Raw genomic sequence first — 22,598 nt, forward strand, 5'->3', positions numbered from 1 at the left:
TTTTGGAGTAAATACATTTATTGATACCCATTTCATATATAGTTCAATGAAATAATCTATAAATATAAAAAGCATTTTTCTTTTGGATATCACCATGGTCCATGTAAATACTCAAGTCAGAATCACCTGCAGGAAGCACTCCAAGTCACACTGTTAGCTTTACAGACCTGAATATACATATTGCATTAAACAGTGGCACTTATGTACTCAAGTGGTCCAGTGGCTTTGGAATATATGTCTACTGGGCATGTGGAATAGAAATAATGTGTTAGGTTTAAATCAATGGAAAGGGTATCAACCATCAACAAAAGCAACAATTATGAATTCATATCCTAGGCAAAGAAAGTACCACAGTTGACACTTGGTGTCAGAATACTAGAGACAAAGTATGTAAAACAATGCCTGTTGCAGCACCACGTGCTCACTCCAACTCCCAGTGGACAGTCCCCCAATGCCTTAGGGTCACTCGTGGTCAACCAAATGCAATCAAGAAGCTCGATAGCTTAGAATAAAAGGTCTGTAGAGGCTGATATCAAGATTAAAGTAAGCTAAACATTTCAGTGACACAATGAGTTTCTCCCCTAGAAGGGGACTGTGGGAAAACTTTTAATTCCCTTTGTTACACTGAGCATGATCATTTATCTAATGCAGAAGAAAGAACCCAGACATCTGGTACTCAGAACATAGGTGCAAAAATTTTCTTCCATTTCAAAGTTTTTTCAATACTTCCGAGGGAACTAATGCAACCACCGTTGAGCCTTGCTCTCCACCTGATGCAGCATAAAATTTTCTCTCATTTCTTCAATATAGGAATGTCTTGCTGCAGACTATGTGTCTTCCGAGTTAGCAAGCAAATGCATTTAAAAGGTCTTAGTTGTGCAATGTCCAAAACTGAAATCTGAGAGGCAGTGTTAGAACTTAAGCAAGGCAGAATTTTTAGAGTCTACTCAAATGAAAGCCTAAGTGAAGCATATAAAAATTCAGTCTTTTCTATTATTTTCAACTGGAATTGATGGCAACATTCCCTGGTAAGGATGGGTAACTGGTGTTATCTCCAGGTCCAAAATATCCCAACTACTTAAAGGGGACCCAAAAGAGGAGAAACACACACTTGAGTTCTGTGGTCTCCAGAATTTTTTTTTTTTTTTTTTGCCATTTTCAAAAAAGATATAGTAGCTTCAGTTGTACACCACCAGTTGAAGGGGTTTTCATCCAAATGAGAAACTCTACCCCTTGTCTCTAGTGGAACAGGCACCAGATTCCCACAAGCAGCAGCTCCCATGTCCTGTAGCACGTGGCATCCGACCCTGGAGTGAAGAGTAAGCTGGCACAGAGCCCCGACGCTGGGATTCAGACTAGATGGCGTTTCGTGGCGTGCCATTGTGTGTCAGCGCTTTCAGACTGGAGGCACTAGTCTGGTGACCACAGCTCCTGTGAGAAGTCACACCCACCTCAAAAACCTCATGAATAGCTTTTCGGAAACAGTGGAAGTTGTAGTCTATTAAACCTGCAGGAAGGAAAAAGAAAAGAATGCCTCCTGAATTGTCAATTGTGAAATTTTATATTTGGGTTTGCAGCCAAAAATAACTCGGATAAACACTGGTTGGAAATTCTTAAGCCTCCAAACTAGATAGCAACTTCTTCAATCGTAAGAACAGCTGGTCATCGGTCAGGTGCAGTGGCTCACGCCTGTAACCCCAGCACTTTGGGAGGCCGAGGCGGGCAGATCACAAGGTCAGGAGATCAAGACCATCCTGGCTAACACGGTGAAACCCCGTCTCTACTAAAAATACAAAAAAAATTAGCCGGGCATGGTGGCGGGCACCTGTAGTACCAGCTACTCAGGAGGCTGAGGCAAGAGAATGGCGTGAACCTGGGAGGCAAAGCTTGCAGTGAGCCAAGATTGCACCATTGCATTCCAGCCTGGGTGACAGAGCGAGACTCCAACTCAAAAAAAAAAAAAAAAAAAGAACAGCTGGTCATCATATATATCCACCATCATAACGTTCTGCTAGAAAACAAATGCGATTGCAATTAGACCATCACCTTGGCCAAATTAATACCTCTGGCATCCAAGTTTCAAATCACTCAATTCACATTCAAGAAAAGTAAAATATTCAAATACACTGTGTGGCCTGCTTGAACATAGTGTGATCTTTCAATAGTTTATATTTGATTTGATGAAAGTCAGTAAATACTTATTACACAGCACGATAGAGGGTACAATATGTCAAAGGAAACAGCAGATATGGTCCATGACTTCCAGACAGGATATGCTAGCTGAGGCATAAAGCCAAAATACAAGAAACAAACCAAAACAATCTGGTGTCAAATTGACTACAACTGTGAAGGAAATCCAAAGAAAAAGCCAAGTGCAGGGCAAAGTAATCAACTGAAAACTTCAGGGACAAGAAAGAACTTGGGGAATACAGACACGATTTAATTAGGCAGAAAAGGGGAACAAAATCACAAGAAAACTGCAGGGACCTGGCCATGAGAATACAGCACAGGTGGAAGACAGGAAAAAAAAATGGTCTGACTGGAGAGTGGGACATCAGAGAACTCTTGGTAGGAAATACTAAGAATCAGGTCTGAATAAGTAGGTTACAGCCAAATTAAGGTGGACCTTCAGACTCAGAAAAGAAACAAACTATAAAAGACAAGTTTTGATCAATTCAACTACATTAAAATTTATTTCTGTGCCAAATGTAAAATAAAAGACAATCAAGGAAATTTGAACACTGGCCAGATATTTGATATCATTAAGTCACTGTTAATTTTGTTGTTTATTGTTTTAAAAACCACTACCTTTTAGAGATACCTACTGAAATCTGCAGAGACAAAATGATTTCATGTCAGGCCTTTGCTTCAAAATAATCCAGTAGGGAAAGTGGTATAAATATGAAACATAATTGGCTATAATTTTGATAACTACTGAATCTGGGCAATGGATTAAAAAGCTTTTATTATACTGTTTTCTCTACTTTTTTATATATTTGACAGTTTCCACAATAAAATAAAAAAGCTTAATAATCTATAATAACTGAGAAGCTCTCCAGGAAACATGATTGAAGTGTGTGGGAATGAGGGCTGAACCCAGGAGCTGAATGCATAGGGACTCCTCGTGCTGCTCCACCTTTGTATACACCTGAAAATTTCCATAAACAAAAATTTTTTTTTTTTTTTATAGACAGGGTCTCACTCTGACACCCAGGCTAGAGTGCAGTGGTACAATCATAGCTCACTGTAACCTCAAACTCCTGTGCTCAAGCAATCCCGCCTCAGCCTCCTGAGTAGAGAGGACTATAGGTGCAAGCCACCACACCCAACTAACTTTTTAATTTTTTGGTAGAGACAGTGTCTTGCTATCTTGCCCAAGCTGGTCTTGAACTCCTGAGCTCAAGCGTCCTCCCACCTCAGCCTTCCAAAGCACTGAGATTACAGGTGTGAGCCACCACACCCACTCTAAAAAAAAAAATTTTTTTAAGATTAAAATGGTTAGGAGCCAGGCACAAGTGATGCACACCTGTAATCCCAGCTATGTGAGAGGCTGAGGTGTGAAGACTGCTTGAGCTCAGGAGTTCAAGACCACCCTGAGCAACACAGCAAGATTCCCATCTCAAAATAAAAACACAAATAAAAAAATAAACTAACATAGGCTGGGCGCGGTGGCTCACGCCTATAATCCCAGCGCTTTGGGAGGCCGAGGCAGGCAGATCACAAGGTCAGGAGATCAAGACCATCCTGGCTAACACAGTGAAACCCCATCTCTACTAAAAATACAAAAAATTAGCTGGGGGCGTGGTGGCGGGTGCCTGTAATTCCAGCACTTCAGGAGGCTGAGGCAGGTGGATCACGAGGTCAGGAGATCGAGACCATCCTGGCTAACACAGTGAAACCCCTTCTGTACTAAAAATACAAAAAATTAGCCAGGCGTGCAGGCGGGCGCCTGTAGTCCCAGCTACTTGGGAGGCTGAGGCAGGAGAATGGCATGAACCCGGGAGGCGGAGCTTGCAGTGAGCCGAGATCGCACCACTGCACTCCAGCCTGGGTGACAGAGCGAGACTCTATCTCAAAAAAATAAATAAACAAATAAACTAACATAGAGAAAAATAAGGAACTGCTAAGAATCAGTGCAAAAAAAGATAAATATATATGGAACAGGTAAAATGTGAAAGAAGAAACCTGAATAGCCATGAAAAGGTACTTGCCATGAAAAGACACTTGCTCTAACCAGTAATTTAAAAAGTAAAAATGAGAATCAAATAAGATACCCTTTCACACCTACCAGATTGACAATAATTAAACAGTCTAACAATACCAAGCATTATTAAGGACAAGAAGTGATAAGAACTTCCACAGACCGGTGCCAGCCAGGGATGAAAATAGTAAAGTCACTTTGGAGAGCTGTTTGGCAATCTCTTTATTAGTCAAAAGATATAGGTACTCTATAAATTCCACTCCTAAAGGCATACCCTAGAGAAATTCTCCACACGTGCAAAGGCAAACTTAAACTTGTTCATGAGCATTTGTTACAGATTTGAAATTTTTAAAATAATCCAAATGTCCAGCAACAAGAAAATAAAATGTGGTATAGTCAACCTGTAGAATACTATATGGCAGCGAAAAGGAATGAACTAGAACTACGTGTCATCAATCTGAATAAATCTCAAAAACCACCTGAAGGAAAAGAATCAAGCAAGTTGCAGAAGACTACTTATATTTTTATATCATTTATACAATACTCTATTGTTTAAGGATAGACATGAAGTGAAAAAATAAGAAAAATAAAATACACATAGCTCAAAGGAAGGGATTTCAATTGAGAAAAACACACAGAAGACTTCAGCTGGCCAGGCAGTTGGCTCTCATCTATAATCCCGGCACTTTGGAAGGCTGAAGGAAGAGGACTGCTTGAGGCAACGAGTTCAAGACCAGTCTGGGCAAGAGAGAGAGATCCTATCTCTACAAAATATTTTAAAATTAGCCAGTATCCTGTAGCATGAGCCTATAATCCCAGCTACTCAGGAGGCTGAGGTGGGAGGATCTCTTGAGCCCACGAGTTTGAGGCTACAGTGAATTATGATCATGTTGGGGCAATGGAGTAAGATTCTGTCTCTTAAAAAAAAAAAAAGATTTTAACTGTATTTGTCATTTTAGTTCTTAAGCTGAAAGGTGAAGATACATGTTTTGATTTACCCAAAAATTTGTGTATATCTGAACTATTCCATTAAAAATTCAGGCCGGGCGCAGTGGCTCACTCCTGCAATCCCAGCACTTTGGGAGGCCGAGGCAGGCAGATCACGAGGTCAGGAGATTGAGACCATCCTGGCTAACGCAGTGAAACCCCGCCTCTACTAAAAATACAAAAAAGTAGCCGGGCGTGGTGGCAGGCATGTGTAGTCCCAGCTACTCGGGAGGGTGAGGCAGGAGAATGATGTGAACCCGGGAGGCGGAGCTTGCAGTGAGCCGAGATTGCGCCACTGCACTCCAGCCTAGGCAACAGAGCGAGACTGTCTCAAAAAAAAAAAAAAAACTCAGGTAGAAGAGGAAGGACTTGTTGCAGTAAATAACAGAGCTACTGTAGATCCTTGAGTAGTTAAATAATATAAAATAAATTTTCTGAAAACTAATCTGCCTTTGGGATAAAAGATGACACATACTACACCCTCCACATATATGTCAACTACATGAATATTATCAAGTAAGAGACTACTGCAGCACCACTGGCCTGAAGCAATGAGAACCTGGAGTGGAATCACTGACAGTGAAAATGGAAAGGAAACCCAAGTAACAGTTACAAGAAACAAATGATCAGATTTGGTGAAAATTCAATATAAACAACATAGAAGAATAGAAAAAGGAGATCACGAAATCTCCTCTGTGAACCAATCTGCAAGGGCCCCTTCAGCAATCACACCACACAATTACCTAACTACAAGGTATCTACACTTGGACAGGAGAAACTCGCGTAACTAGTGACAGAAGTATGACAGCCACGAGAGTCACAAAACAGGGGAAATACTCATCAACCAATGATTGACATGACGTTGAAGGTAACATTCACAATATTTAAGAGAGAACGTCTTACTAATAGCTCCAAACATGGGACGAGAGCATGATCCCAAGTCATAGCTGGAGATGTGAATTTTTCAATCACATAGAGAAGATTAACTGAAGCCATGTATTTGATGAGCTGACCTAGAAAATACGCAAGCAGAAAGACTTGGCTCTGACAAACAGGACTGAGGAAAAAAAAAAAAAAAACAGAAGAAACAGGAGAGGTGGTCGGGAAAACAAACACACAAAATATCCCAAGAATTCAGCTTCAGAGAAGCAAAGAGAGAAGAAAGTTTTCAGAAAGGAGGGACTGACAAGATCACATGCTTAGAAGATTGAAAAGCCTGCAGAGTAAGAAAAGGCCACTGAATGCAGGAAGGAGGTAACCTGGTAACTTCCAAAAGTCTAGTTTCTATCATCAGAGTGAACAGGCAACCTACAGAATGGGAGAATATTTTTACAATCTACCCATCTGACAAACGGCTAATATCCAGAATCTACGAGGAACTTAAACAAATGTACAAGAAAAATACAACCCCATTAAAAAGTGGGCAAAGGATATGAACAGCCACTTCTCAAAAGAAGACATTTATGCAGCCAACGAATATATGAAAAAAAGCTCATCACCACTGGTCATTAGAGAAATCCAAATCAAAACCACAGTGAGATACCAGCTCATGCCAGTTAGGATGGCGATTATTAAAAAGTCAGGAAACAACAGATGCTGGAGAGGATGTGGAGAAATAGGAACACTTTTACACTGTTGGTAGCAGTGTAAATTATTTCAACCATTGTGGAAGACAGTGTGGTGATTCCTCAAAGATCTAGAACCAGAAATACCATTTGACTCAGCAATCCTGTTACTGGGTATATACCCAAGGGATTATAAACCATTCTACTATAAAGACACACGCACACGTATGCTTATTGCAGCACTCTTCACAATAGCAAAGACTCGGAACCAACCCAAATGCCCATCAATGACAGACTGGATAAAGAAAATGTGGCACATATACATCATGGAATATTATGCAGCCATAAAAAAGGATGAGTTCATGTCCTTTGCAGGGACATGGATGAAGCTGGAAACCATCATTCTCAGCAAACTAACACTGGAACAAAAAACCAAATACTGCATGTTCTCACTCATAAGTAGGGAGCTGAACAATGAGAACACATGGACACAGGAAGGGGGACATCACACACCAGGGCCTGTCAGGGGTGGGTGGCTGGGGGAGGGATAACATTAGGAGAAATACCTAATGTAGATGACGGGTTGATGAGTGCAGCAAACCACCATGGCACATATATACCTATGTAGCAAACCCGTGCGTTGTGCACATGTATCCCAGAACTTAAAGTATAAACAATAAATAAATAAAAGTCTAGTTTCAGTAGACTTGTTCAGATGGAAGCCAAACTGCATTCAGTTAAACAGGTAATGAAAGCATTTGAACGCAGAAAAGCTAGAATTAAAATCTTGATTTAAAATGAAAGATCAAAAAAAGAAAAGAGAAAGTCTGGACTATACATGGAAGGAAAGGGACAAAAGCAGTTTGAGCTTTTTTTTTCTGATAGCTATTTGTCTAACACTGCAATTATTATTTTCACTTGTTTTCAAGAACCTGAGAAGTTATGGCAAAGAAATTAACATAAAAACAGCTTTTTAAAATGCTATTACCTTTTCTTTCAAAGCTTTCTTCCCTTAGAATGCAGACCAGTGCCAAAAATTTAGTCACCTCCTTTAAATAAAGGACAGTTGTATTATTCAGCTTGATAATTGCCATAGATTCTTTGTCATAAGCACTTCCACTTCCATCTTCCTTTAACCTATTTTAAAAGAAAGTACTATTCATTACAGGTTTCCCATCTAGGCATCTGCCACATTTAATCTGCACAATGACATCCACCCAGTTTCCCAAATGTCTCTGGGAAAGAATACTGGCTTAAACATATTGGGAGAGAGTGTTGTTAAGGTATAGTGTTCCTAAACACAGAATTTCAGGGATACCTATTAAAAACAACAACTCCATACACATCCTTTAATATAGATAATCAGACATTTGGAGAAAAAGGTGCAAACATATGTATATCTTAACCAGGGAAATGACAACGTTACCAACATCTCACCAGGTGGGGCTACTCACCCCCTAGACTGTGTTCTGTAAACCCAGCTGAGGTGTCTCCTCTCTTTACTGCCCTAAGGTAACAGGGACCTCTGGGACCTGCCGCCTCACTTAGATGAGCTCCTTCGAGGCATATTCTATTTGCCAGGTCAATCACATTTTCACAGAAAACATATTTTTTGCTTCCTCACAAAAGCAAGAAAATACTTAGACTAAACAAGAACAGTCTCAGCTAGAGACTAGCAGGGACTATGTTGAAATCAACAACTTTTAAAAAGAGATACGGACTCAAGAGTCTTTTCTGATGTACTTGCCTATAAAAATCTAAAGGTTATCTAGCTATTGTTACGAATTAAGAGTTATTAAAAATGCTTTTTTAAAAGTATTTGCCTTCAAAAACAGAAAAGGTGAGGGAAATATACTAAAAAGAAAATGTCGGCTGGGTGCAATGGCTCACACTTGTAATCCCAGCACTTTGGGAGGTTGAGGCGGGCCACCTGTCTTGAGGTCAGGAGTTCGAGACCAGCCTGGCCGACATGGTGAAGCCCCATCTCTACTAAAAAATAAAAAATAAAAAGTAGCCGGGCATGGTGGCTCACACCTGTAGTCCCAGCTACTCGGGAGGCTAAGGCAGGAGAATCGCTTGAACCCAAGAGGCAGAGGTTGCAGTGAACTGAGACTGTGCCACTGCACTCCAGCCTGAGTGACAGAGCAAGACTCTGTCTCAGGGAAAAAAAAGAAAAAAAGGAAAAGAAAATGTCAGGAGTAACTGGTAATTTTCTTTGGCAGTAAAACAATGTATCTTTTTTCTCCTATTTTCACTTTTCTATATTTTCCATGCAGTTTTTAATGAATAGGGGTGAGGTTTACTTTTTAAACTATTCCAAGCCTTACAATTTGTGTTCTCATATGGTAGCATAAGCATAATGTCAAAAAAAATTTGGGGTCTGGCATGGTGGCCCATGCCTGTAATCCCAGCACTTTGGAAGGCTGAGGTGGGAGGAATGCTTGAGCTTTGGAATTCAAGACCAGCCTAGGCAACACAAGAACACACACACACACACACACACACACACACAATTTTAAGGTGACAGAAATAACACTAAAACAGTTGTTAGTGGTTGACTTGAGTAGTGGCTCTTTACTCCTATTTTCATTTCTCTATATTTTCCGTGTATTTTTTTTTTCATGAAGTGGGGGCTTATTTTTACTATTCTGAACCTTGCAGTTTACCTTCTCATACATTTCTTTGATCCTCACAACAACCCTGAGGACACGAATTATTACTATAGCCCTATTTAACCACATTATGTCCTTTCTGCAACAAGCGAAAGTAAACTACATAAATACAAGAGGACTATGCCCATTGAAAAGATACAGAGGCCAGGCACATGGCATACACCTGTAATCCCAACACTTTGGGAGGCCAAGGAGGATCACTTTAGCCCTGGAGTTCAAAACCAGTCTGGGCAACAAAGTGAGACTCCATCTCTACAAAAATATCCAAAAGTTAGCCAGGTGCAGTGGCACACGCCTGTGCTCCTGGCTACACAGGAGGCTGAAGGAGGACAGCTTGAGCCCAGGAGGTCGAGGCTGCAGTGAGCTGTGTTCACTACTGCACTCCAGCTTGGGCAACAGAGACCCTATCTCAAAAAAAAAAAAAAAAAAGGTAGGAACTGAAGTTCATTAAAAATGAAGTAATCTCCTGGCAAAGTCAGGACTCAAACTTAGGGTTTTTAACTCAATTCCATGCAGTTTCCAGTACCTTAACTAATATAAAGTTAATTTGGGACGGCAGAGTGGAGGGGAAGTTGGTGTCATTTGCTTTTAAGAGTATAGAAGAAAACTACTTCCTTCTAATTGGAGAAGAGGAAGTTATAAGTGCTACATGTTCTCAGCTTATAGTTAAGATGCCCCATGTAGATCTTTTTCTGTGCCACATGGAAAGTGAGAACAAGAACTAACTCTGACAACAGGTTCCAACATAGACAACCCTAAAGATGATTCCCTAAACCAGTACCCACAGCCAGCAACTGTAAAAAACTATAAAGCTCCTAATGTCAAGCCAGCATATGATCTTGAATCACACACTAACATGAGAAAGAAATAAGAAAGGCACATTCTATTCAAAGTCTGGAGATTAGAGTGACTTGATTTGGCTGTGATTAATAAAATTAAGAATAAAAATATGTTAATGACCTTAAAATGCTTGCTCAGAATCTGTAAAGCATAAGATCTGCTTTCTACATTTATCTGTTTTAACAGTTTTTAAGACTATTAGGAAAATATGCTAATCTTAATCAAAATAATGCCAAGGCAGGCCAAGAGTGGTGGCTCATGCCTGTAATCCCAGCACTTTGGGAGACTAAGACGGGAATATTGCTTAAGGCCAGGAGTTCGATACCAGCCTGGGTAACACTATGAGACCCTGTCTCTACAAAAAAGTAAAATTAAAAAAACAAAAAAGGCCAGCTGCAATGGTTCACACTTGTAATCCCAGCACTTTGGGAAACCAAGACAGGAGAATCACTTGAGTCCAGGAATTCAAGACCAGCCTAGGCAACATAGTGAGACCCCATCTCCACAAAAATCAAAACTCAGCCAGGCATGATGGCACACGCCTGTAGTCAGGAGCATCACTTGAGCCTGGGAGGCAGAGGCTGCAATGAGCTGTCATTGTACCACTACACTTCAGCCTTAGTGACAGACCATGTCTCAAAAAAAAAAAAGAAAAAAAAAAGGTTAGCTGGGTATGGTGTGGTGTGCGGCTGTAGTCCCAGCTACTCAGGAGGCTGAGGTGGGAGGATCACTTGAGTCCAGGAGATTGAGGCTGCAGTGACCCGTGGCTGGAGTGCAGTGATGCAATCATAGCTCACTGCAGCCTGGAACTCCTGGGATCAAGTAATTCTCCTGCCTCATCCTTCTGCTTAATCCCCCAAATTTAGCTAGGACTACAGGTGGACACTACCACATCCAGCTAATATAATGTACTTTATTATGTATAAGGTATTTTAAAATGTATTGGCTGGGAGTGGTAGCTCACGCCTGTAATCCCAGCACTTTGAGAGGCCAAGGCAGGTGGATTACCTGAGGCCAGGAGTTCGAGACCAGCCTGGCCAACATGGTAAAACCCTGTCTCTACTAAAAATACAAAATCAGCCAGGCGTGGTGGTGCACCCCTGTAATCCCAGCTACTCGGGAGGCTGAGGCAGGAGAACTGCTTGAATCCGGGAGGCAGAGGTTGCAGTGAGCCCAGATCACACCACTGCACTCCAGCCTGGGCGACAAGAGTGAGACTCTGTCTCAAAAAAATAAATAAATAAAATAAATAACATGTATCTAACATTGAAAATAAATTTTACAGTTAAATTTGATTTTTGTATTATGAAAAAGTTGGTTTATGAAATTTTGATTTGTTTTAAAGAAAAAGCAAACGTTCTACTCATCCATTGTTTAAATTAGAAGTGGGAAATATGAAACTATCCTAAAATATATAATAAACTGACAATGTCTCATTTTGATTATGTAAAGAATTAAAACAAGCCAGGCATGGTGGCTCATGCCTGTAATCCCAGCGCTTTGGGAGGCCACGGCGGGTGGATCACGAGGTCAGGAGTTCGAGACCAGCCTGGCCAACATGGTGAAACCCAATCTCTACCAAAAATATAAAAAATTAGCCGGGTATGGTGGCAGGCACCTATAATCCCAGCTACTCGGGAGGCTGACGCAGGAGAATCGTTTGAACCCAGGAGGCGGAGATTGCAGTGAGCTGAGATCTCACCACTGCACTCCAGTCTGGGCAACAGAGCGAGACTCTTTTTCAAAAAACAAAACAAAACAAAAAAGGCCAGGTGCGGTGGCTCACACCTGTAATCCCAGCACTTTGGGAGGCCGAGGCGGGTGGATCACAAGGTCAGGAAATCGATCGAGACCATCCTGGTTAACATGGTGGAATCCCGTCTCTACTAAAAATACAAAAAATTAGCCAGGCGTTGTGGCGGGCACCTGTAGTCCCAGCTACTCAGGAGGCTGAGGCAGGAAAGTGGCGTGAACCTGGGAGGTGGAGCTTGCAGTGAGCCAAGATCGCGCCACCACACTCCAGCCTGGGCGACGGAGCAAGACTCCGTTTAATAAATAAATAAATAAATAAATAAATAAATAACAAAAGAGAGCATATAATCATAAAAGTTAAAGGAATAGACAGATATAGAATAGGTAAGACAAATGTACTCTCCTACTCAGAGGCAGCTGGAGAAATTAAGCAAAAGACCAAAATGAAGGGCAGAGTCAGAGGTGAAAGAGATATTTAGACTAGATGGAGCAGAGAGAAGACACAGGTAGTAGAAAGCAAAGATAATGCTAAAACATCTGAAAAGCAACTTGAGAGTGCTGATGTTAATATACCAGGGGAATCTAGGAAGTCAGAGGGTACAGAGAATGTTATTAACTCTTTTTTTGTTGTTTTTTTTTGGTAAAGCTGAGGTCTATGTTGCCCAGACTGGTCTCCAACTCCTGGCCCCAAGCGATCCTCTCACCCCAGGCTTCCAAACATCTGGGATTATGGGCACAAGCCACCACACCTGGCCATTATCAGCTTTTGAAAAGCCAGTAATTCTCCAAAGTTTTCACCAGTCCTCTGGCCTATTCTACAAAATCACTTGCTGGCTGGCTTTCATAAATTTCTATAGCGAGTTTGGCAAATTTACATAAAGGAGGAGCTCAAATTTTAGAGATTTATTTTGGAAACTTGTATATATGGGTCAGATTTTTATAAGTTCTTCCAACATCCAAAATTCTAATTACTTTCTTTGCTCTCTGAAAGATTAAGAATCCCTAATTCCACAAAGCCTGAGGTTAAATCAGGAACCAGAACTTACTTTGTTATTCAGACCATTTTAAATTAATCTAGTTTTTCAATCTAACTAAGTTCCAGTAGTGAGAAGACACAGTGCAACCCTCCCCCATCCCCACAACAGTGGGAGAAACTTGCAGTGATAAACAAGTCCAGTTCTAGTCATGCTTTCCAACTTTTCTTAGCCATTCTCCGAAGGAGTAAGACCCAGCAGCCAACTTCCAGAGAAATCATGCTCCAAGTTAAAGCACTATGGTCAGAACAATCCCAGTTCATGTAGTACCACTTGCCAGGGGCCTCAGAAATTAGTCTTCTGAACAAATCAAGTTAATAGTTTTCCGCCTGTCTGAGATATTGCAGGAATATATACATAACTTACCCATATATACAAGACACATCAATTACAACATCGATCATGTCACAGCAAAGTTCATAAGATTGCATATCCACAGGGGAACTGTCTGTTGCAATGTAGATTTTGCTGACAACATCAAAGAGAAAAGCTTTTTCAATACCTGAATTCTTGGAAAAACAAATGGGAAACTGTTCAGTATTTTTTAAGAATCACAATTTACAACTTATCGAAGATCTAGAATTACTGAATAACATCCAAGGTCATTTTTAATTATATAACCCAATACCAAAAAACAAATAGCACTTGCTTGAGAGACTCTTCTATTATCCAAAGAATGAAAGAGGAATTATTTCTCTACTCTGATTTACTGACACAATTTCCTAAGTCAAATCTTCTTCTTCCTCTTTACTCAAATGAATTGTTTTCTAAGACATCACAAAAAATTTAACAAAAATCTCTAAAAATCAAGCAATGCTACATTTTCAATAATCCTCTTATTAATATAAACCATCTCTGATTTGAATTACTTTGCTATCAAGAAAGGCGTTATGTGGCAATTTACAAACCATAAAAGAATTACACGTTGACATCAACATCTATTTAAGAATTCAGAAAATAACTTGAATAATATGTTATCATTTATTTTACATGTTAAGTGGGTCACTAGTCTTTGTACTTGATACAGATTAATTCAAGACTTTTTTGGAAAATTTGAAAACACAAATATATTCCCAAAAATGGAATCAGAAGCTGCAGTGAATTAAATATAAATTGCTCACTTACTGATATAAAGATATTTAATAGGTTTTCCAAGGTCGGCAGTTGTGGAATGAGTTTCTGCACCACCTTACTAAAGGCTTCAAATATTGAATGGTCATAGATACTAGTCAGATAAAAGCTGAAAAACACAACATAGCTTGATTAATTTGAAAAATACCTTATGTTCTATGACAACTATTATAATACATAAAATTTTAAGTTTCTTAACATTTGATTTCAGTGAGTTCAATAAAGCCTCTTTATCTTGTCTACCATACCCATCACTCAAGATGACAAATACACTTTCCCACCTGGCTTCATCTCTTTACTGCATTTACACAGGGGGCAACTGAAGTAGTACTGAGAAAAGGATTTTCAGGTACATAAACTCCAATATTCACCGAAGTCTTTGCAATCTGATCCAAAAAGCTTTTTTTAAGCACATAACTGAGACCAAAAATAAGACTAAAACCGAGAAAACTAGAAGAGTTATGTGACATTTATTAAATAAGAACATAATTCAGGTTTCTACTAAAATGTCACCTCAAAAAGTTCTTTCCAGACCAGCCTACCTAAAATAGCACTCGTGTACCCAAGGCTTTCAACCCCTTTCCCCTAATTTGTTTTTCTTCACACCACTGGTAAGTACTTAAAACGATACTATACATTCATTTAGGTGCTTCTGAGCTGTGTCACTGAAAATGTTAAGTTCCAGGGGAAAGAGACTTTGTCAGTCTCGCTCCTAGCAGCAAGCCCACTTCCCTGAACAGTGCTCATAAGTATCTGCTGAATAAACAAATGAATACAATTGGTGTTTACAATTTATGTAAAGAGCATATTAAACAGGATGGGAGTCGGGACTCTACAGAGAATGGAGGAATCTACAGGAGTCTGGAGGCCTAAAAGGACTTACGGTGGAGAAGTAACACATGTAGATTCAATAAAACACGTATTTGAGAGGGAAGCCTTTAACAATTTAAACACTGTCAACAATTCTATCTGCTTTATAACTCAGGGAGTACAATCTTCATTATATAGTCGCATCCACCACACATTTATACGTATATATAACATCAGAGACACAGAACTTTATAGGTAATTTAAAGATACTTTCAGCTGGGCGCGATGGCTCACGCCTGTAATCCCAGCACTTTGGGAGGCCAAGGCAGGTGGACCACTTGAGGTCGGGAGTTCGAGATCAGCCGGACCAACATGGAGAAACCCCATGTCTACTAAAAATACAAAAAATTAGCCAGGCGTGGTGGCGCATGCCTGTAATCCCAGCTACTTGGGAGGCTCAGGCAGGAGAATCGCTTGAACCAGGGAGGCAGAGGTTGCGGTGAGCCGAGATGGCATCATTGCACTCCAGCCTGGGCAACAAGAGTGAAACTCCATCTCAAAAAAAAAAAAAAAAATACTTTCAAGGAGCTGACCTAAGAACCTAATCTAGCAAGACAGGGGTCTAATCTAGATGTAAGAGCACTGGAACAGGTAAGGCCAAGATGACCCCATAGATACTAGGGAGAAAGGAATATTTTAGTGTTTCCTGTAGGCCAAAAGGTGAGCAAAGAAAGAATGTCCCGCACCTTTGAGGCTTGAGGTAAATGGGGACAGGGAGAACCTGCAAGTCACAGGGCATTTTAGTAAACTGAGTTTCTAGAAACTGGAAATGAAAAGGAGCTTCATCCATAGGACTGCTAGTACTAAATAAAAGTCTTTTTTTTTTTTTTTTTTTTGAGACGGAGTCTTGCTCTGTCACCCAGGCTGGAGTCCAGTGGCACGATCTTGGCTCACTGCAACCTCCACCTCCTGGGTTCAAGCGATTCTCCTCTCTCAGCCTCCCAAGTAGCTGGGACTACAGGCACACACCACAATGCCCGGCTAATTTTTTGTATTTTTAGTAGAGACGGAGTTTCGCCATGTTGGCCAGGCTGGTCTCAAACTCCTGGCCTCAAGTGATCTGCCTGCCTCGGCCTCCCAAAGTGCTGGGATTATAGGCATAAGCCACTATGCCTGGCCTAAATAAAAGCTTGATGCAACATTCTACTGAAGTTAACAAGGTCTAGGACCCTACATGGTACTGAGGAAAGGGATGGCATGTACCACTAGGGTGGGATGCCCTGGAAAGGAACACAGACACGGAGTAAAGAGAATCAGAAGGATCCCCATGGAGCACTGGGGAACACAGGACAAGAACGGCTCAAAATCCAGGTAAAAAACTATTAGCAGTGGATTCCCAAAAAAATAAGACTGAATTTTTGTGGAGAGCCACTTACATTTTCTCCTACAAACATTGCTGAATTTTTATTTTTTTAACATGAATTATTTTCAAATTATTTAGAAATTTAATCCAGGCAAACTAGAGGTCAATGAGACTTTTCGACATGGTTTCCTAGAAGAATAACTGAAAGATCTTGGAGCCTGAGACCCAGAGAATTTTAGGGGGAGGGATAGCAGTTAGCTTGAGCCCATAAAGAAGTCACAACAATAGAACGGGGACAGAGAAATAACTTGCTGTCTCTCTCCCCTTCTCCCTCTTTAAGCTACTTCTATCGTCAAGAGAATATTTTCTTGGGTACTTTTTAATACTCATTTCTACCTATATCACCAAATAAAATAAGATGTACAAAAATATTCCTCATACACTTTTAGAATGCAAATACACAAATCAATCCTATCAAGTAGGTATTATTTAATAATAATTTCTTAACAGTAGTTACAAACCAATAGTCCTCTAAATTTAATAGCAGCCTTATGCACATTTATAAGATAAACCCACCTAAGCCAAACTTTATAGAGTTTCATAAAAGTATAAAGTGTTTTAAAAGCTAAGATATATTACAGTCAGTCCAGGGGGGAGGTGGAAGGGAGCCAGCAGGAAAAATAAAAATGAAAAATAAAAAGAGTCAGTCCAGATTTGAAAGTGCACTCTCTGTATAAGGCTGTTCCTACTGAGAAAGATACTGTCTAAGACTCAAGCTAAAGACTTCCACAACAAATGTGACAGATTCACTTCACTGATGCAAGGCGGGGAAAAGTAATGAAACCAAGAGGAAGGAGTCCCAAAGCAGATTTATGCCATGAAGAAACAGCCTGACTCCAGTCTCTTGAGATGAATTTGGAAAAGCACCAGTGGAAACACTTCACATGACTTCAATCTCCAGGAAAACGCAAAAAGTGGGTAATTTCTCAATATCAGGCTCCCCAGACAGCCTGGAATTCAACAACAAGATCAAAAACATAAAAGATGTGGCAAAGGGCACACAGGTAGCAGAAAGCTATGGTGTTTGTAATGACAGAGATGGGAATACATTTACACCTTGTTCAGGGCTTTCATATCAAACACACATGTTGTTACCTAAGATGGAGTTTTTCTAGCCCAGCATCTGCAAGGTCATCATTGGCCCTTTGATGAATGTCCCTCTGTGTTTCTATTTTGTGATCATCAGACAGACCATCAACTTTGTGAATAAAAACCTCAAAATTCATGTCTGGGTTAACTTTGTAGGCTTTAGAAACAGTAATGTGAAGTCTTGTTAAAGCCTCCATGTAGTCATCCTGTAAGTCAGAACAAAATATTTTTTAAAATAAATCTTACAAAAGCCAAGTAATGAGTTAAAGCCTCAAACCACCTCTTTCCCCAACCACAGAAAAATACTATCCTAATTATCATCAATATTCAAACATTCAAATATACTATACTACTAAATAACTCTTCAATTGTCTCAAGATAAAAAAATTCAATTACCAAGTTAATGCTTGTAATTTTTAATATTAATTTAAGAAAGAAAAAAATGATATGAACATTTTTTCCCAACATAATTTTTTTAAGTAATCCCAGCTCTGCCATTTATTCAGTGTGTCACTTTAAGCAAGCTGCTTAAACTCTGATCTCAGTTTTCTCATCTGTAAGATCAGAATTACAATACCTACCTAACAATATTGTGAAGCTTAAATTAATTAGGTCCTGTACGTGAAGGCACCCTCTGTAGAGCCTATCACTCAGAAAGCATTCTTAACTAATGCTTAAGCTTATAAAAAGTAAGCTTCTTAAAGGATAGGGACTTGCCCCATTCATCTCACTGACTGCCACATGCTAGGCCCTCCATAAATGTTTGTTGAGCTAAACTCAATTTTGACAATTAAGTAAACTATTCACTCTAATATCTACTGACTCAGTTCTCATATTCCTCTTTATGTTATGGGATGGGATATTTTCAGGGAATAACATCACTATTATTATAAAATTATTATAAAATATGGCAACCAATAAAAGTGGAAAGCCAATGTTAGCTGCTCATCAACTAGGACTCAAGGATGTAAACCATATCTCCTAATCATCTGATATTCTGTACCTGCACAATGCATGTCTGCTCCCAAAGCACTCTGCAACTGCATCTCTTACACTGTTAGGGAATCTACTGCCAAAGAGATAAGCTGCAACCACATGACAAAGAAGATAAACAACTTTCCTTTGTTTCTACATCTTTTTCCCACCAGGAAAGAGGAGTAAACACATTACTGACTACCTGTGCGTCAATGACGTATATCAATGCTCCTGTTCCCCTGAAGATCATCTCATAGTCAAAGGTTGGGTCAAAAAAGTCCATTTGCCCAGGAAAATCCCATATCTGGAAATTCACAAAGGAGCTATTGGAAATGTCATCCTTATAAATCTTGTTGGTACTTTCCAAAAAGAGGGTCTCGTTGGGTGACATCTTATGAAACACCACCTGTTAAAAGAAAACAGGCAATTTTATGACTATTAAACTTCAGAATTTAAATTTAAAATTCCACCCTGGTTTAACATTTAAACATTTGATCCCACAAAAAAAAATTTTTTTTGAAAAGTAGAAACTGAATGGTGAATCCATTGGTATTCACTATCCCTTTATTTTTGACAAAAGAAGACACCAAATTAATTTCCATTAAATCTATTTTGGAGCTAAATCTTTTCTCCTATGTTCTATGCACCATACTCAGTACTAATAGTAGCAATCTCTATCACCTCCATTAGTTTTTCTGGGGGAAAGCTAACATTAATTCTACCAAAATCTGCTTTAAGATTATAAAAGTCTTACAGCTAAAGCTTAAGAAGTCTGGTTTATTCAAAAATTACTTGAATGCCTACCTCAGGCTCTGAGGAGTAATTTAAAAAGTGAAACAGACTGGACTCTGCCCTCACTGACTTTGCAGTCTAAGAAGGGCAGTAACTATACCAAGTAGAAAGTGAAAACGTCCAGGGGGAGGCCACGGGGACTGACAGGGAAAAGATAGCTCTCATGAGAAAAGAAACGTAAAGGCAATTGTTAAGAGTCACAATAATCGGCCCGGGTGCGGTGGCTCACGCCTTCAATCCCAGCACTTTAGGCGGCCGAGGCGGGCGGATCACTTGAGGTCAGGAGTTCGAGACCAGCCTGACCAATATGGTGAAACCCCATCCCCACTAAAAATACCAAAATTAGTCGGGCGTGGTGGTGCACGCCTGTAGTCCCAGCTACTTGGGAAGCTGAGGCAGGAGAATCACTTGAACCCAGGAGGTGGAGGCTGCAGTGAGTGAAGATCACACCACTGCCCTCCAGCCTGGGCGATGAGCAAGACTCCATAACAAACAAACAAAAAAAAAAGGATCACAATAATCACAACCTACACAGTTCTAACATAAAACTACTTTGCCTCTTACTGTCTAGAAGAGAAAAGTGAACAATTACTCTCAAGGTTTTCTCAGTAACAAATGTGAATAACTGAAATTAGTTTACTAAAAACCTACAGTCAACGTACCCAAGTTTTGCTGTAGAGGTGAAAATCAAGGTAAATAAAACACAGTACTCCAGCAAACCTGGAAGAACGCTGCTTTTTAAAAAGATCCCATCTACAAAATATCACAGATTCAGAAAGAAAAAAAAATCACAGATTTATTTTGGATAGGCCTTTGCAACAGAGTGGAGAGGTGAAAAGACCAGGTGCCTGCTGATACTAGTTTTATTACCAGCTCACTCCGCGTATAATGGGTTTGGCTGATGGAGGAAGTCAACCTTGCCTCTATTTAACCCTCACTAAACAGTGTAGGCCAGCGTGGTGACTCACACCTGTAATCCCAGCACTTTGGGAGGCCAAGGCGGATGATCACTTGAGGTCAGCAGTTCGAGATGACCCTGGCCAACATGGTGAAACCCCGTCTCTACTAAAAATACAATAATTAGCCGGGCGTGGTGGCGCGCGCCTGTAATCCCAGCTATTCGGGAGGCTGAGGCGGGAGAATTACTTGAACCAGGGAGGTGGAGGTTGCAGTGAGCCGAGATTGCACCACTGCATTCTCCAGCCTGGGCGACAGAGCGAGAGACTCCGTCTCAAAAACATAAACAAACAAACGTGTACAGCCCTCCATTTGTTCATGAAGGCCCAAAAGTGAAAACAAACAGACTAGGTCTGCAAAATATTCTCAAAGTCTCAGATTTTTAAAAACACACCCCTACAGGGGGAACAGCACCAGTAATTACATTCACCAGGCCACAACTACTGAAATGGGTGCAATCTCACTACCCAATTCCCAGTAATGCTACAGCGAAGTCTCCTTCACATCAGTAGCGAGAATTACAACGCCCAGTGTCTTAGTCACAACTCTTCCTGACGCTGCTCCCTGGGGCTCTGCTGGGAATCCCGAAACACTCAGGTCACCTGAAGTGAGAACAAATCAAAACGGGCCAGGGGAGGGAGTCCACGAAGTTCTCCAAGTGAGAACTGGAGAGTACGTCTCAGTTTCGTAAATGACACAGGAGCTGGGTCCCAGGGGGCGGAGGTCTTGGGCGGTGCCACCGGGCACCTGCCTCCCGGCAACCAGTTTCGCCTTCAGCGCTCCACTTGGCTTCAGCTGACTTGGGCGTGGACACAGAGGTCGGGGTCCCCGCGCGGGCCGCGCCTGTGCGCTCGCAAGAGTGGAAGAGAAAGTGCGGAGGGACGGAGCGCAGGCGGGCCCCGGCCGCCGCCCTCCCGGGCGTCCCCGCTACCGGCCACCTGAGAACCGGGGAGGGGGCGGGGGACTGGGCGCAGCCCTGCTCACCTTCTGGATGGAGGACTTGCCGCTGCGCCGGAGTCCCATGAGCAGAATCCTCGGCTTGGAGCTGTCAGCGCCCCCCGGACCACAGCCACCGCCTGCCCCTGCCCCAACCCCTCCGCCCGCCGCCGCCGCCTCCTCTTCCTCCTCCTCCACGCCGTAGCCGAAGTCCTTTGGAAACGAATCGGCCGCGCCGTAACTGCCGGCGAGGGGCGTCTCCTCCGCCCCGTACTGCAGGGACATGGTGCTGGAGCCGCCGCCGCCCGCGCCCTGACAGGCCAGGCCAGGCCGAGCCAGGCCGCCGCCTCCCCAGTCCGCCTCCGCCGCCGCCGCCACCACCGCCACCGCCCCCGGCAGCCGCCACAGTCCGGCCCGCCCCCCGGAGCCCGGCTCTCATAGGCCCCGAGCCGAAGCCCAGCCGCTTATTGGCCGCCCGAGCTGCTACTCGAGAGCAGCAGGGTAGGTGGTGCCCCGTCACGTGCCGGAATCACCTGACTCAGAGCCGCGGAGGGGGGAGGAGGAGTCACGAGGAGGGCGGCCCGGCCGCGCCTCTAGCCCCGGCTCGGGCCCTCAGCCCTCCGCCCCGGCCCGCATACAACGCTGTCTGCACCGCTCCCCTGCCTTCTTCCGGGCTCCCAGAGCACCGCTATGGAGATGCTCTCCCGGCATTTGAGGAAGAATTGATTGTCCTCATCCTGCAACTGTACTTGCCCAACCGATATTTATTGATGCCTGCAGTGTCCTGGGTGCCTACCAAGGGGCACAGAACTGGATCCGACGCAGACCCTGCCTGCCTTCAGGTTGCTTGAAGATGAACAGAGAGATCGGACCTCTGCGTAAGTAACCTCGCTACGAAATATTATGTGGGAAGGTCACGGATAAATAATGCTCGGGAGTTGAATGAGAAAGCGTCTGAGCAGATCTAGGTGGATGGATAGATTGGGATGTGCAAAGGTATGGGGGAGCCAGCCACACTGAGGGCAAACCTCAACCAAGGCAGAGTCATGGGTCACCGTGATAGTTTGTTCTAGCAGGTAGCTGGACCCTGATGGGAAAGCAGATGCAGCCAAGCTAGAACATCTTATCTTCTTTCTTCAGTAAGTCGCCGATAGTGGATACTGCTGCCACTTCAAACCCAACGGGACTCAATTTGCCCTCCTTCCCGCCTTGTCAAAGTCTACTCTAGGAATTCCATCCCCCATAGAACACTGCCTCTTCTATGACCTCGTTCAGATTAGAGACCAAAGTATTGAATAATGAAAGCAAACAAAAGCAAATGCTTGTCACCAAATATGTCCGAGAAATCTAGAGGAATTTTTATTTTTGATAATCAGGCTCTAGAACTGGAAGTTTGAGAAGAGGATCCTCTTAAAGCACAGCCCTATACACTTT

The 22,598-nt window shown here is 41.9% G+C and overlaps 1 protein-coding gene and 1 long non-coding RNA gene across 3 annotated transcripts in view, besides 2 other annotated features; one reads left to right on the forward strand and one right to left on the reverse strand.

Moving 5' to 3' along the window:
* On the reverse strand, positions 1-21,575 carry RRAGC (Ras related GTP binding C). 2 transcript variants are annotated; one of them, NM_001271851.2, is made up of 7 exons: positions 21,213-21,575; positions 18,682-18,783; positions 17,511-17,710; positions 14,177-14,291; positions 13,418-13,560; positions 7,742-7,890; positions 1-1,507 (listed from the first exon to the last, which is right to left on the reverse strand). In NM_001271851.2, the coding sequence occupies exons 1-7, from the start codon at positions 21,447-21,449 to the stop codon at positions 1,356-1,358; spliced, it is 1,098 nt and encodes a 365-aa protein (NP_001258780.1). In that variant the 5' UTR covers positions 21,450-21,575; the 3' UTR covers positions 1-1,355. The 2 variants fall into 2 exon arrangements, with proteins under 2 accessions (NP_001258780.1, NP_071440.1); NM_022157.4 differs by having other exon boundaries at positions 18,682-18,885.
* Positions 21,105-21,864: a silencer, noted in NCBI's record as "silent region_689". NCBI's record gives its function as "represses an Ori minimal core promoter by ATAC-STARR-seq in GM12878 lymphoblastoid cells {active_cell/tissue: GM12878}" and the evidence as "EXISTENCE:reporter gene assay evidence [ECO:0000049][PMID:35858748]".
* Positions 21,500-21,794: an enhancer, noted in NCBI's record as "tiled region #3933; HepG2 Activating DNase unmatched - State 1:Tss, and K562 Activating DNase matched - State 1:Tss". NCBI's record gives its function as "activates a minimal TATA promoter and a strong SV40 promoter by Sharpr-MPRA in HepG2 and K562 cells {active_cell/tissue: HepG2 | K562}" and the evidence as "EXISTENCE:reporter gene assay evidence [ECO:0000049][PMID:27701403]".
* The window catches only part of RRAGC-DT (RRAGC divergent transcript), a 16,334-nt gene continuing 15,431 nt past the window's right edge, over positions 21,696-22,598 (forward strand). The window contains exon 1 of the long non-coding RNA NR_186075.1: positions 21,696-22,042. This is a non-coding gene — a long non-coding RNA (RRAGC divergent transcript). The remainder of the gene's footprint in view (positions 22,043-22,598) is intronic.

This window comes from Homo sapiens, chromosome 1 (assembly GCF_000001405.40).
Source record: "Homo sapiens chromosome 1, GRCh38.p14 Primary Assembly".
Taxonomy (NCBI): domain Eukaryota; kingdom Metazoa; phylum Chordata; class Mammalia; order Primates; family Hominidae; genus Homo; species Homo sapiens.